The sequence below is a fragment of the Homo sapiens genome, chromosome 1, assembly GCF_000001405.40.
Source record: "Homo sapiens chromosome 1, GRCh38.p14 Primary Assembly".
Taxonomy (NCBI): Eukaryota; Metazoa; Chordata; class Mammalia; order Primates; family Hominidae; genus Homo; species Homo sapiens.
The window spans coordinates 117,752,249-117,767,688 of NC_000001.11; positions in this window are offsets into that span (position 1 = coordinate 117,752,249).

Genomic DNA, 15,440 nt, shown 5'->3' on the forward strand with positions numbered 1-15,440 from the left:
ATGTGTCCTGGCTGGGACTCCAGTGCTGTGATCGTTCGATTATAGGCTTTCTCTTTATCACAGTTTTGTGCCTTGTGGACGGATAGTGGGTCCATCCCATGGGAGCTGTAGGAACAAAAGGTCCCAGAGGGCAAAGTCAGCAGCCTGAACACTAACAGATTGCCAACTCTTGCCAAACCCACTTTGAGGAGTGAAGTCTAGGCCTGCAAACCCACCTCATGCTGGACTCTCTCCTTAGTTGCTGCCACCTAGAGCTACCATCATCTAGCTTGTTCAGGCTGGGGCCCTGACGACGCCTACCTTCTCTGTGGCTTTCCAGGCTCCTTTTGTTTCCTGGATGAGCTGCTCCTCCATGGGTCTCCTTAGTTTCCCCTGGAAGATCATAGAAAACAGAGATCTAGCACTCTGTACTGAACAGCACTTGGGTCCTAATTCTGGGAGTAGAACATTAGGAGAAACAGTTTCTGGGAATTTAAAAGCAACAGACAAAGAAAAAGTCCTGTTAAAAGAAAAAAAAATTTTGGAAAAACAAGCATGCCTTCAAGTACTTTTTGGATGCCATTGTTGATCTCAAGCCATTTTATTAGTTTAAAGCCATAGAACACATTATAACTCAGTTTGCTCCAAAAATTATCACATTTGGCATATTTGGAGACAAGCAGGCCTGGGGAAGAAAAGGATAAAATGCAGGAGAGAAAAGGGGATTCCTATATTTCCCCTTGAGTTTTCTAAGAAAACAAAAATTATTCTCAGAAAAAAAAAAATCTTTCCAACTCCCAGTTCTTCCAATTCTTATTGTGACCAGAAAAGTATACTCACAAAAGCCACCACTCCTAGTCAATAGCTACCGTATATTTCCACACTGGAGGGAATAGTATATTATCCACATGTGCCTCCACCCCAAGACCAGGGCCCAGCAGGATGAGGGGGACCTCACTGTCTCGAGAAGCCGCACCTAAACCAGTGCCCCTTCCAGAAGAGAAGAGGGTGTGAGTTCCGGGCAGGAGCCACAACCTAAGTTTCTAGCTAAGATATGCAAACAGATAAGTGTCTAGGGGAAAATTCTTATTCCTATTTTATAGGCTCACAATTCAACAAACATTTCCTGGGTTTCTTCCATGCTAGGAGTAAAGCTAAGGAATGGAGTCATAAAAGTGAATATGCCACAGTGTTTTTCCTGAAGGATCTCATAGAGAAACAAATAAGCAAGCAATCACTTTTGGCACAGTGTGGTGAGTGCAATGATTGAGATGTGTGCCGGAGGCTTCATGTGCGAGTGAACCTGGCTGGGGGTGGGGACAGAGACAGGGAAGAATTCCTGGAGAAGGGTCTGCCTGAGTTGTGTCCTGTTGGACCAGAAGGAATTAGTCAAGCACAGTGGGGAGGAAAGCATTCCAGGTACAGGGAACAGCATGTGATAAAAGAAACATGTATAAGGAAGAGCATTTGGCACTTTTCTGGAACTATAAATAGATTAGTATGCCTCGTGCCATCAGAGTGAAGAAGGGAAGAGTGGAGATGAGGCTGGAGAGGAAGGCAGCCCACTCACGATGAAGGGATTAGATTGTTGGAGTCAGCAAATGTTTTCTGTAAAGGGGCAAATAATACATATTTTAGGTTTCTTGAGTCATATCCTCTCTGTCGCAACTACTCAACTCTGCTACTATAGCACGAAAGTAACCATAGCAGATATGTAAATCAGTGAACATGTCTACATTCCAGTAAAACTTTATTTACAAAAACAGGTGTAGAGCTGGATTGGCCCGTGGGCTGTAGTCTGCAGACTCCTGCTGTAAATCACAATTATCCAGAAACAAGCTAACCAACTCATTCCATTTGGCCCAGGACTTCTCCAGTTTTAGCACTGAAAGCCCCAAGTCCTGGAAAACACCTCAGTCCCAGGTACACTGGGACAGTTGGTCGCCTAGGAAGCTTGTTAAAAATGCGAATTCCTGAGCGGACTCCTGGCTCAATTAATCAAAATCCACTGGAGTCGGGAGAGCTACAGGTGATGGGGCGCCATCTATGGGCAAGAGAGTGATAAAATCAGATTTGTACCTCAAGTGGTTTGCTCTCGAGGAAGGAACACATTCCCCAATATCCCTACTCTTGATGGCAGGAGAAAATGGTCAATGTGTCTCTTTAAGAGGATAGAGTCAGCTGGCTAGCAGCACCGGGGCTGAGGCTGGGCATTAACTGGTTTGTGCAAATGGTTTTTCTCTAAGTAATCACTGTCCACTAAGGATAGAGGAGAGTCCACAGAATCCAACGGTCAGGGCCCTTGGATAGACCATAGGAGGGGAGAAACCAGAAGAGCCTCTCTCTGTGTTCCCCTAGAGCCAGAGCTCATCATGCCAGTGGGAGCCTCACTGTTTGTCTAGAGCAGCTGCACCGAAACCAGTGCCCCTTCCAGAAGTGAAGAGGGGAGTGAGTCCTGGACTAGAGTTGCAAGCCACATTTCCAGCTAAGGTACATGGACAGATAAAGAAAAATAAACAGAGGGGAAGATAAACTTTTGGCCCCAGATGTCCATTTTTGGAAGGTTTTCATGGTCAGCTCTTATCAGCAATAGCTCTAAAAAGCCAGGTCTGAAATTTTCCTTTCTGAAGCAACAGGTGTTTTATTTCTGTTCAGAAATGGCAACTGTTTGGCTTGGGCAAACAAAGAGTTTGCACTAAAAGGACTAATAGTACTCTCTTTACTTTTCTTAATCAGCCCCTTTTGAATTTAACTTCACAGCCATGGCGAATTTTCCACTTTAATTACAAATAGTGCTTCCTATCTTCTGGACTGCTCCTTTCTAAAACAGGTGGCTCTTATTCTAAGAACGTTGATATATGAAAGCCTATGCTCACATTGCAGATAATTTGAATTACATAAAAATTCTTAACATCTGAAATAGGTTCTCTCTTATACATTGCAGAGCTTGTTTGTGGACCATTAAGCCCATTAACAATTTGGCCAGCATTCTCTAGCTATTGCCAAATGAAGAACAATCAGAGATGAAGATAAAATATATTTTAAGTCAATGGAAAAATAAGTAGCTTTTTTTCTGGTATTAGGCAGCAGAGCTTGGTGGTTAAATGAAATGGCTCTTGAGTCAAACTGCCTCAGTTGGAATCCTTGATTTACTTCTCACTTGATGTGTGACTTTGGGCACATTAATTCATTTCTCCAAGCTTAATTTTCCTCGTCTGTGAAATAGGAATACTAGTAATACTTCCCTATTGGGTTGTCACGTAGATTAAATAAGGTAATACATGTAAAGTATGTAGCACAGAAAGCATATAATAAATGTTAGTTGTTAATATTACTCATATTAGGCAAATCATTTTACCTGTACGGGCTATGCTTTCTCATTAATGAAATGACAGAGTTGACCTCTAAAGTCTGTTAGTTACCAATTCTCCAGTTCATGTAGAAAAATAAAAAAGGCAGAGAAGAGCTATGTGGATACAGAAACATCACTCCCCAGGACAGCCCTATGAAAAGTGGCCTGGGGCAGGGGGTGGGGAGGGGGGGGCACCGACTGACACAGGGATAGAATATTTATTTGATAATAAAGTGAGGCGAAAACAGGAGAGATGTTGTGGGAATAGTCTATATGCTGCCTAGACAGAAAGAAGGACATAGATGATATTTTCCTGGTCTATACACAGAAGCTCGCTCCAAAGCTAAGACACTGGACATGAGGTATGTGTTCTAAATTCTTTGCTGGACATTTAATTCTGCTAAAAGGAGAGCATCTGATAAGTTTTCAACCTACTTCACTGGCATTTTTATTGTGTAGTATGTGAATGCATTAACAAAGTTGATAATACACTGGACTTCACTTTCACCATCAAAGAAGAACAAGTTTGGTGATGTAAAAATGGGAGGAGCATTGGGAGAAAATGACTGTGTCATTTTCCAATTTATAAGCACAAGAGACAGAAATAATGTGCCTATCAGTACTCTGAATAGTGGTGATTTTCAAAATGAAACTTTACAATCACAAATTATACCCATAAAGGAGAAAAAAGTAAGAATTTTTTGGTGATACTAGTTTACTCCATGTATTATTGTGCACTTACAACCTTCCAAGTTCTACGCTACAGGGGAAACATATTTCTTTTAAAACGCCCTTGTCCTAAAAGAGCTTACAGTGTATAATTTATGGGGATGACCATCAAGTATCCAATCTCAGTATAGTTTCATTACTGCTAAGAGAGAAGTGTGCACAGGCTGCTATTAAAACCTATGAGAGGCACCTAGTCAGATTAGGAAGAGTCACAGAAAGCTCCCCAGTGGAGGTGAGAGCTGAGCTGAGTTTTAAAGAATGCAAAGGAATTACAAGGTAAGAAGGAGATTCTATTTTGAATAAATAGAATGTCTGAAAGACATCACAGTGGAAACTTGAAACAATTTAACATTACTGTAAGACTGAGTTCAAATTAAGGAATAAAGGAAAATGAGCCTGGAGAGGTACAGAGAGGGCCAGGTGATGGTGGGCCTTGTGTAAAGAGAGCTTTCTATAAAGGTCTTGCTACTAATGAGCTTGGATGTTATTCTGTAGGCAGTGAACACCATGGAAAAGTTTAAATTGATTGAGTGCCATGGTCTAATTTATATCTTAGATCTGTGGCATCATGTGGGGTGAATTTTACAGGGTCAAAACTGAAAGTAGAGAGACCAGTGCTGAAGGTGCATCAGAAGTCTAAAAGAGACCAGGCATAAATTACGAAGTGGCAAGAGGATGAAGAAGAGGGATGGTTTGGGGTGGATTTTAGGAGGTAGAATTGACATGATTTTGCTATGAATTGGATACAGGAGACAAGCAAAAAGGCCTGATGCTACTGCTGATGATAACGTAAAAGATAATATTAGTGACTGAAGACATGGATGAGATGGCCCAGGGAGAGTGCTGGGATAAAATGAAAAGAAGATGGAGGGTTCGTTGGGGCTCAAACCGAGAAGAAAGTTGAGAAGAAGCAGCCAAAGAAGGAGGAAAGAAACCAGCAGAGAGTTGGCATGAAAAATAAATGCAAGAGTTGTAAGTAAAAAGCCATCAGTGTTCAAGTATCGAACTTCACAATACCAGGGCAGTTTTGATCCAGTCAAGAGCAGGTCAATGGAGTGGTGAGAACACAAGCCAGATTGCAGGGAGCTGAGGGGGAGCGGGAGGAGAGGAAGTGGAGACAGAACATGGGCTGGTCTATCAAGACTCTTGGCTGTGAAGAAAGGACAGATTTATAAAGAGGTGCCAGTTGAGGGTGGAATTTTTTTAAGGACATTGAGAGACCTGAGCACATTTATGTGGAGAGGGGAAGAGCCATCAGAGATGAGGTTGAAGATAGAGGCTGACTATAAGGGAGTCCCCTCTGGCAATGGCCCATGCTGCCCCTCACAGGAGTGAGCTCTCCATCACAAATGCTAGAGGAAGACTTCCTTGATCAGCCTAGCTCAATCCAGTAGCACCTTCTAACTAAGATTTTTCAATATAACAGTGATTTATTGGAGCTTTCAGTATTTGCATTGCCTTACACTAACCCAGTGGAGCACACAGATAAATTGAAGCTACAGCATGGATTGAATCATCCAGTTCTGAAGCAAGAGCTGTTGACCACTTGGCCACTCCTAGGCCCCTCTGATTCAGAGATTACAACGACTTAACTCAGGAGTCCTTCAGAGGTGATGGTCAAGCCAGCCAGCTCCTTAGTCACCTTCCCATGTCTCCTTTGGGGGAAAGCCAGGAAAGGCCACTTCTTTCCAACTTCTAAAGCAATATTCGTCTTTGAACCCTATTATTATAATTCAACTCAACTTCATTAGCGAGTCAAACACCCTTTGAATGCACTGTCCCCCTGGCTGCCTTGTGATAGGAAACACAGCTCCTGCCCTCAAGAAACTCAGTCCTTCCCCAGGCATTTAGCTTTTCTGGAAACTGGAGATAAATAGAAGAAGAACTGATACGACAACCAAGGTGGTGCTTAAAAAACTTGTTTACAGAGCCCTCAGATTCTAAGGGGGGGCTTCCCTAACCAACCAGGGGATGGAGGTAGGAGCAGTATAGACTCCAGGCCTTCCCACCCAGCTTCAAATCAAGTAGCTCTACTTTTATTCATTTTATATATTTAGGTTGTCATAGGTTTTTGTTTGAACCAAGAGACTCACAGCTAAGAGATGCTTAAAACCCCACCAAAGTAATATTTGCTGATCAAAATCAAGAAAAGCATAACTCAATACTGAGTTACCAAAAAAAAAAGGAGATCGAAAGTCATTGCAAAGGGGTTAATTTGATCTTCTCAAGCTCTATTCATGAACTCATTCATCCGGAAGACAAATACATAGCAGCAGGCACTGTGCCAGTCCCATGTCGGGCACTGGGGAGACAGAGGTGAAGGAAACTTGATGTCTGCTCTCCAGAACTTCACAGGGAGACAGACAGGGGAATGATAGCTCTCTAGAGTGGTGTCCTGATCAAGGTGTGGATTAAGGACGGCGGGGAGACAGAGGTGACAAGGATTCGCCCTGAGAAGTGGGGAGAGAGGCTTTGTCAGGGAGAGCTTCACCAGGGTCTTAAAGGATGCCTACGGTCAGCCGGAGAGGGAGGAGGAGGGGCGTGCACCGATTCCCACGGCTGCAGCAGGGGGCGCGGAAGGGTAAATGCGTTTACTGGGCGAGGGAAGTCGCGGCTTTCTCCTCAGGCTGAACCTGGGCATCTGTCTCTGAGGCTAAAGCGCTTCAGAGCCCTCATGTCTGTCAGGGGCTCCCGCACCGTGTCTTTCTGAGTACTGCCACCTAGTGGCCACTCTCAATTCCCACATTTCCCTGGACAGCCTGGAGTCATTTGTCTTCCCACTGATTTGAGGGTTAAGCAAACAGTGAGCACACACAGTGGATAAGTGACTTCTCCGGTAGCACACAGTTTGTGAGGCTGGGGCTGGAACAGAACCTAGCTCTTGTGATCCCAGGACCAGGTCTGGTATGGGCCGGTTTGCCCCCGTCCACACTCGCTCTGGCAGGTTGAGGCTGAAGGTCAAGTCGATAGATGACTACTCTGGAGCGCACTTCAAATCCTCTTCCCAGGCTTCAGAGGGGTAGGGACACTTTAAGAGAGAAGGAATGTGGGAGTAAGTGGATGAGCTAGAGAGAAAAGAAGATATATATTGTTTTCCCCACCTCACTCTCACCAGTCCAGCCTTCAAACCTATCTCAGCAATGAGAAAAGGGGGCTAATGATGTTCTGGGACTGGATAGAGACCATCGCTTCAGGCATTAGGTTGCCACCATGTCGACAGGAGAGGGGAGGGGCTCTCAGCCATCTTTTTTTCTGAGGAATGGCTGGGGGTGGGGGAGTCCCATGGCCACAGTCAAAGAATAATAGCAGGGTCCCAGGGACAGGACTAGAAGTTTCTGAAAACACCTGTCAGTTGCTGAAGGTTAAAAAAAAAAAAAAAAAAAAAAGCTGGACCATACCAGACCTAGTCCTATTTGAATCATATTTAAATATGATTCTCTGCTCAAGATGACAATTTGCATGCAACATGTTTCAGAAGCCCATCTGGTGTTACAAAATCCACTGTGGTTTCAACCTGTCCTTTCAATCAACCATCCTGGTTGGATTATAAAGACTTTACAATAAAAATCATAGGAATAATAAGGATAATAGAATTGACACAGTAGAAAAAACAAAACGAGGAACCAGATAGTAAAGGAGGTGGCAGAAAAATCTATATATTGAACAACACAACTTTTGGCCGAGGAGGACTATAAAACTGAGCCTAATCTTTGGTCTTAGCATCCCATCAGCCTGGGAGGGAAAATAATGCCCTGAATGAGCACCAGGCATCCCATTCAGGTCCCATCAGGTAGGTATCTTCATCTTCATTTTGTAGAGGAGGAACCTAAACCTCATGGTGGTTATTTGGCTTTCCTGAGGTCATGCAGTTCTTATATGATAGAGGCACTCTGTGAAATGATAGATGCCTGACTTATTTCATTGGCAACCTGATCTGTTTACCTCCTGAACCCCAAGCTGTGTCTAATCCCACTTGCTTTTTTTAAGAGAGTATTCCCAGCATGAATCCTTTTGTCACAAAGAAAAAAAAAGTTTTCTGGCTGGGTGTAGGGAGAGCTGGGCTAGTTTGGTTCATGATGGGTGGGGGGGCATGGCCAAGGTGAGCTTACACGGGAAATTCCCTTCCCTCCTCCCAGTAAAAAAAATCCCTGAGTTGTTTCGGAAAGTCCCATGCTGAGGCTGGGCAGTGTGGCTAGGTATCAAAGTGCTGGAGCCTTTCCTTGTATCCATCAAGCTGAATTCACAAAGGGAGGGAGAGAAGAAGGGAGGAGAGGCTGGGGGCTGCTTCTGATTAGCCTGTCCTCTGCCAAAGTGAGATGTCCTCTCTCTGTGGGCAATTAAATGGTTCTCATGAATCCACCATCTGGGCTCAGCAATGTGTGCTGTGGCTGCTTTCTCTCTCCACCCAACCCCACCCCACCTCTGGCTCAGGAGCCAGGCCAATGAGATTCAGAAAATCTAGCCCTTCCCCCACCTCACCGTTTCTCCCTTCCTACAAGGGCTGCTGCAAATGGCTACAGAGGGCTACGCAGTTCTCCAGGCCTCCACCTCTCAGCAGATAAAGCCAGCCCAGGGGCATGGAAAAGTTCTTGAAGAAAATTAAAAGTGCTATTCCAGTGAACACATAGATGATAAGAAAGTGAAACAGCCTTACTGCTGATGTAGAAAAAGTTTTAGTGTTCTGGATAGAAGATCAAACCAACCGCAACATTTCCCTTAAGCCAAAGCTTAATCCAGAACAAGACCCTAACTCTCTTCAATTCTATGAAGGCTGAGAGATGTGAGGAAGCTGCAGAAGAAAAGTTTGAAGCTAGCAGAGGTTGGTTAATGAGGTTTAAGGAAAGAAGCCACCTCCACAACATAAAAGTACAAGGTGAAGCAGTAAATGCTTATGTAGAAGCTATAGCAAGTGATCCAGAAGCTCTAGCTAGGATAATTAATGAAAGCGGCTGTACCAAATAATAGATTTTCAATGCAGATAATACAGCCTTCCAACAGAATTGTAAGAAGATGCCATCTAGGACTTACATAGCTAGAGAGAAGAAATCAATGCCTGGCTTCAAAGCTTCGAAGGACAGGGCAACTCTCTTGTTAGGGCCTAATGCAGCTGGTGACTAAGTTGAAACCAATGCCCATTTGCCATTCTGAAAATCTGGTGATCATTGAGAATTATGCTAAATTTACCCTGCCTGTGCTCTATAAGTGGAACAATAAAGCCTGGATGACAGCACATCTGTTTATATCATGGTTTATTTAATATTTTAAGCCCACTGTTGAGATCTACTACTCGGTAAAAAAGATTCACTTGTTATTGGTCTGTTCAGGTTTTTTAATTCTTCATGATTCAGTCTTGGTAGGTTGTATGTTTCCAGGAATTTATTCATTTCTTCTGTGTTATCTAATTTGTTGATGTATAAATATTCATAGTGGTCTCTTATGGTCCTTTGTATTAGTTCTAATGTCTCCTCTTTCATTTCTGATTTTATTTATTTTAGTTTCTTCATTTTTGTGGTCTGGTTAAAGGTTTACCAATTTTGTTTATCTTTTAAAACAACCAACTTAGTTTCATTGATATTTTCTATGTTTTCTCTTTATTTGATTTATTTCTGTCCTACTCTATTATTTCCTTTCTTCTGCTAACTTTGGGCTTAGTTTACTTTTCTTTTTCAAGTTCCTGGATGTATAAAGTTAGGTTGTTTATTTATGATCTTTATTTTCTTCACATAGGCATTTATCACCATACACTTCCTTCTTAAAATTGCTTTTGCTGCATCCCATAAATTTTGATATGTTGTGTTTTCATATTTGTTTGTCTCAATGTATTTTTTGATTTCCATTTTGATTTCTTCTTTGACCTATTACTTGTTCAGGAGTATGTTGTTTAATTTCCCCATATTGTGAATTTTTCAATTTTTCTTCTGTTATTGATTTCTAGTTCCATACCATTATTGTTGGGAAAGATACTTGATATATTTCAAACGTCCTAAATTTGTTAAGCCTTGTTTTGTGGGCTAACAGATGATCTATCCTGGAGGATGTTCTGCATGTGCTTGAAAAGAATGTATATTCTGTTGCTGTTGAATAAAATTTTCTGTATGTTTCTTAGGTCCATTTGGTCTATAGTGTTGTTCAACTTTGCTATTTTCTTATTGATTTTGTCTAGATGATCTATCCATTGTTGAAAATCAAGTATTGAAATCCCCCACTACTATTGTATTGCTATCTACTTTTCCTTTCATTTATGTTAATATTTGTTTTACATATTTAGGTGTTCCATTGTTGGATGCACATATATTTATGATTAGTATATCCTCTTGATGAATTGATGCCTTTATCAGCATATAATGACCTTCTTTGTCTTTTGTGACAGCTTTTGACTTAAAGTCTATTGTGTCTAAGTTTAGTCACCTTTCAGTTACCATTTCTATATTTTTCCAACTTTTCCCTTTCAGCTTATGTATGTTTTTAAATCTAAAGTTAATCCCTTATAAATAGCATATAGTTGATCTTATTCTTTAAAAAACTTTTTTGACTGGGTGCAGTGGCTCATGCCTGTAATCCCAGCACTTCGGGAGGCTGAGGCGAGCAGATCACTGAGGTCAGGAGTTCAAGACCAGCCTGGCCAACATGGTGAAACTTCATCTCAACTAAAAATACAAAAATTAGCCAGGCATGGTGGCACATGCCTATGGTCCCAGCTACTCAGGAGGCTGAGGCAGGAGAATCACTTGAACCCAGGAGGCAGAGCTTGCAGTGAGCCGAGATTGTGCCATTGCACTCCAGCCTGGGCAGCAGAGCAAGAATCCGTCTCAAAAACAAATTTTTTTTTTTTTTAGAGGCAAGGTCTTTTTGTGTCACCCAGGCTGGAGTGCAGTCACATGATTTCAGCTCACTGTAGCCTCAACCTCCCGGGCTCAAGCGATCCTGCCACCTCAGCCTCCTGAGTAATTGAAACCACAGATGTGCACCATCACTTCTGGCTAATTTTTAAATTTTTTATGGAGACAGGATCTTGCTATGTTTCCAGGACTGGTCTTAAACTCCTGGGCTCAAGCAATCCTCCTGCATTGGCCTTCCAAAGCACTGGGATTATAGGCATGAGCCATTGCACCCAGATGATCTTATTCTTTCTAGCTATTCATTCTCTATATATTTTTTAGTTACAATTCATCAAATATTTATTTATTTATTTTAGATTCAGGGGTATATGTGCATGGTTGTTACATGGATATATTGCCTAATGATGGGGATTGGGTTTCTAGTGTACTCGTCACCCAAATATTGAACATTGTATCCAATAGGTAATCTTTTAACCCTCACTCCCCTCACTTCCTCCCCTCTTTTGGAGTCCCCCATATCTATCATTTCCATCTTTATGTCCATGTGTACTCAATGTTAAGCTCACATTTATAAGCGAGAATATGCGATACTCAATTTTCTGCTTCTGGGATAGTTCACCTAGGATAATAGCATCCAGCTCCATCCATGTTGCTGCAAAGGATATGATTTCATTCTTTTTTATGGTTGCATAATAGTCCATGGTGTATATGAACCACATTTTCTTTATCCAGTCAACCTGCTGATGGACACTTAGGTTGGTTCTATGATGTTGCTATCGTGAATAGTGCTGTCATAAACATATGAGGGCAGGTGTCACTCTACATCTTTTTTAAAATTATTATTATACTTTAAGTTCTAGGGTACCTGTGCGCAACATGCAGGTTTGTTACATAGGTATACATGTGCCATGTTGGTTTGCTGCACCCATCAACTCCTCATTTACATTAGGTATTTCTCCTAATGCCATCCCTCCCCCAACCCCCACCCCACGACAGGCCCTGGTGTGTGATGTTCCCTGCCCTGTGTCCACATGTTCTCATTGTTCAGTTCCCACCTATAAGTGAGAACATGTGGTGTTTAGTTTTCTGTCCTTGTGATAGTTTACTGAGAATGATGGTTTCCAGCTTCATCCATGTCCCTGCAAAGGACATGAACTCATCCTTTTTTATGGATGCATAGTATTCCATGGTGTATATGTGCCACATTTTCTTAATCCAGTCTATCATTGATGGACGTTTGAGTTGGTTCCAAGTCTTCGCCATTGTGAATAGTGCCGCAATAAACACATGTGTGCATGTGTCTTTATAGTAGCATGATTTATAATCCTTTGGGAACATACCCAGTAATGGGATCACTGGGTCAAAAGGTATTTCTAGTTCTAGATCCTTGAGGAACCACCACACTGTCTTCCACAATGGTTGCGCTAGTTTACACTCCCACCAACAGTGTAAAAGCGTTCCTATTTCTCCACGTCCTCTCCAGCACCTGTTGTTTCCTGACTTTTTAATGACTGACATTCTAACTGGCATGAGATTGTATCTCATTGTGGTTTTGATTTGCATTTCTCTGATGACCAGTGATGATGAGCATTTTTTCATGTGTCTGTTGGCTGCATAAATGTCTTCTTTTGAGAAGTGTCTGTTCATATCCTTTGCCCACTTTTTGATGGGGTTGTTTGTTTCTTGTAAATTTATTTAAGTTCTTTGTAGATTCTGGATATTAGCCCTTTGTCAGATGAGTAGATTGCAAAAATTTTCTCCCATTCTGTAGGTTGCATGGTCACCCTGATGGTAGTTTCTTTTGCTGTGCAGAAGCTCTTTAGTCTAATTAGATCTCATTTGTCTATTTTGGCTTTTGTTGCCATTGCTTTTGGTATTTTAGTCATGAAGTTCTTGCCCATGCCTACGTCCTGAGTGGTATTGCCTAGGTTTTCTTCTATGGTTTTTATGGTTGTAGGTCTAACATTTAAGTCTTTAATCCATCTTGAAATAATTTTTGTATAAGGTGTAAGGAAGGGATCCAGTTTTAGCTTTCTACATATGGCTAGCCAGTTTTCCCAGCACCATTTATTAAATAGGGAATCCTTTCCCCATTTCTTGTTTTTCTCAGGTTTGTCAAAGATCAGATAGTTGTAGATGTGTAGTGTTATTTCTGAGGCCTCTGTTCTGTTCCATTGGTCTGTATATCTGTTTTGGGACCAGTACCACGCTGTTTTTGTTACTGTAGCCTTGTAGTATAGCTTGAAGTCAGGTAGCATGATGCCTCCAGCTTTGTTCTTTTTTCTTAGGATTGTCTTGGCAATGCGGGCTCTTTCTTGGTTCCATATGAACTTTAAAGTAGTTTTTTCCAATTCTGTGAAGAAAGTCATTGGTAGCTTGATGGGGATGGCATTGAATCTATAAATTACTTTGGGCAGTATAGCCATTTTCACAATATTGATTCTTCCTAACCATGAGTATGGAACGTTCTTCCATTTGTTTGTGTCCTCTTTTATTTTGTTGAGCAGTGGTTTGTAGTTCTCCATGAAGAGGTCCTTCACATCCCTTGTAAGTTGGATGCCTAGGAATTTTATTCTCTTTGTAGCAATTATGAATGGGAGTTCACTCATGAGTTGGCTCTCTGTTTCTCTGTTTTTGGTATATAGGAATGCTTGTGATTTTTGCATATTGATTTTGTATCCTGAGACTTTGCTGAAGTTGCTTATCAGCTTAAGGAAATTTTGGGCTGAGACAATGGGGTTTTCTAAATATACAATCATGTCATCTGCAAACAGGGATAATTTGACTTCTTCATTTCCTAGTTAAATACCCTTTATTTCTTTCTCTTGCCTGATTGCCCTGGCCAGAACTTCCAACACTATGTTGAATAGGAGTGGTGAGAGAAGTCATCCTTGTCTTGCGCTGGTTGTCAAAGGAAATGCTTCCAGTTTTTGCCCATTCAGTATGATATTGGCTGTGGGATTGTCATAAATAGCTCTTATTATTTTGAGACACATTCCATCAATACCTAGTTTATTGAGAGTTTTATCATGAAAACTGTTGAATTTTGTTGAAGGCCTTTTCTGCATCTGTTGAGATAATCATGTGGGTTTTGTCATTGGTTCTGCTTATGTGATGGATTGTTTATTGATTTGCATATATTGAACCAGCCTTGCATCCCAGGGATGAAGCCGACTTGATCATGGTGGATAAGCTTTTTGATGTGCTGCTGGATTTGGTTTGCCAGTATTTTATTGAGGATTTTTGCATCGATGTTCATCAGGGATATTGGTCTAAAATTCTCTTTTTTGTGTGAGTGTGTCTCTGCCATGCTTTGGTATCAGGATGATGCTGGCCTCATAAAATGAGTTAGGGAGGATTCTCTCTTTTTCTACTGATTGGAATAGTTTCAGAAGGAATGGTACCAGCAACTTTTTGTACCCCTGGTAGAATTTGGCTGTGAATCCGTCAGGACCTGGACTTTTTTTGGTTGGTATGCTCTTAATTATTGCCTCAATTTCAGAGCCCATTATTGGTCTATTCAGAGATTCAATTTCTTCCTGGTTTAGTCTCGTGAGGGTGTATGTGTCCAGGAATTTATCAATTTCTTCTAGATTTTCTACTTTATGTGTGTAGAGGTGTTTATAGTATTCTTGGATGGTAGTTTGTATTTCTGTGGGATCAGTGGTGATATCCCCTTTATCATTTTTTATTGCATCTATTTGATTCTTCTCTCTTTTCTTCTTTATTAGCCTTGCTAGCAGTCTATCAATTTTGTTATCTTTTCAAAAAACCAGCTCCTGGATGCATTGATTTTTTGAAGGGTTTTTTGTGTCTCTATCTCCTTCAGTTCTGCTCTGATCTTAGTTATTTCTTGCCTTCTGCTAGCTTTTGAATTTGCTCTTGCTTCATTAGTTCTTTTAATTGTGATGTTATGGTGTAGATTTTAGATCTTTTCTGCTTTCTCTTGTGGGCATTTAGTACTATAAATTTCCCTCTACACACTGCTTTAAATGTGTGCCAGAGATTCTGGTACGTTGTGTCTTTGTTCTCATTGGTTTCAAAGAACATCTTTATTTCTGCCTTCATTTTGTAATTTGCCCAGTAGTCATTCAGGAGCGGGTTGTTCAGTTTCCATGTAGTTGTGTGGTTTTGAGTGAGTTTCTTAATCCAGAGGTCTAATTTGATTGCACTGTGGTCTGAGAGACAGTTTGTTGTGATTTCTATTCTTTTACATTTGCTGAGGAGTGCTTTACTTCCAATTATGTGGTCAATTTTAGAATATATGCGATGTGGTGCTGAGAAGAACGTATATCTGTTGATTTGGGGTGGAGAGTTCTGTAGATGTCTATTAGTTCTGCTTGGCGCAGAGCTGAGTTCAAGTCCTGGATATCCTTGTTAACCTTCCATCTCATTGATCTAATATTGACAGTGGGATGTTTAAGTTTCCCATTATTATTGTGTGGGAGTCTAAGTCTCTTTGTAGGTCTCTAAGGATTTGCTTTATGAATCTGGGTGCTCCTGTATTGGGTGCATATATATTTAGGATAGTTAGCTCTTCT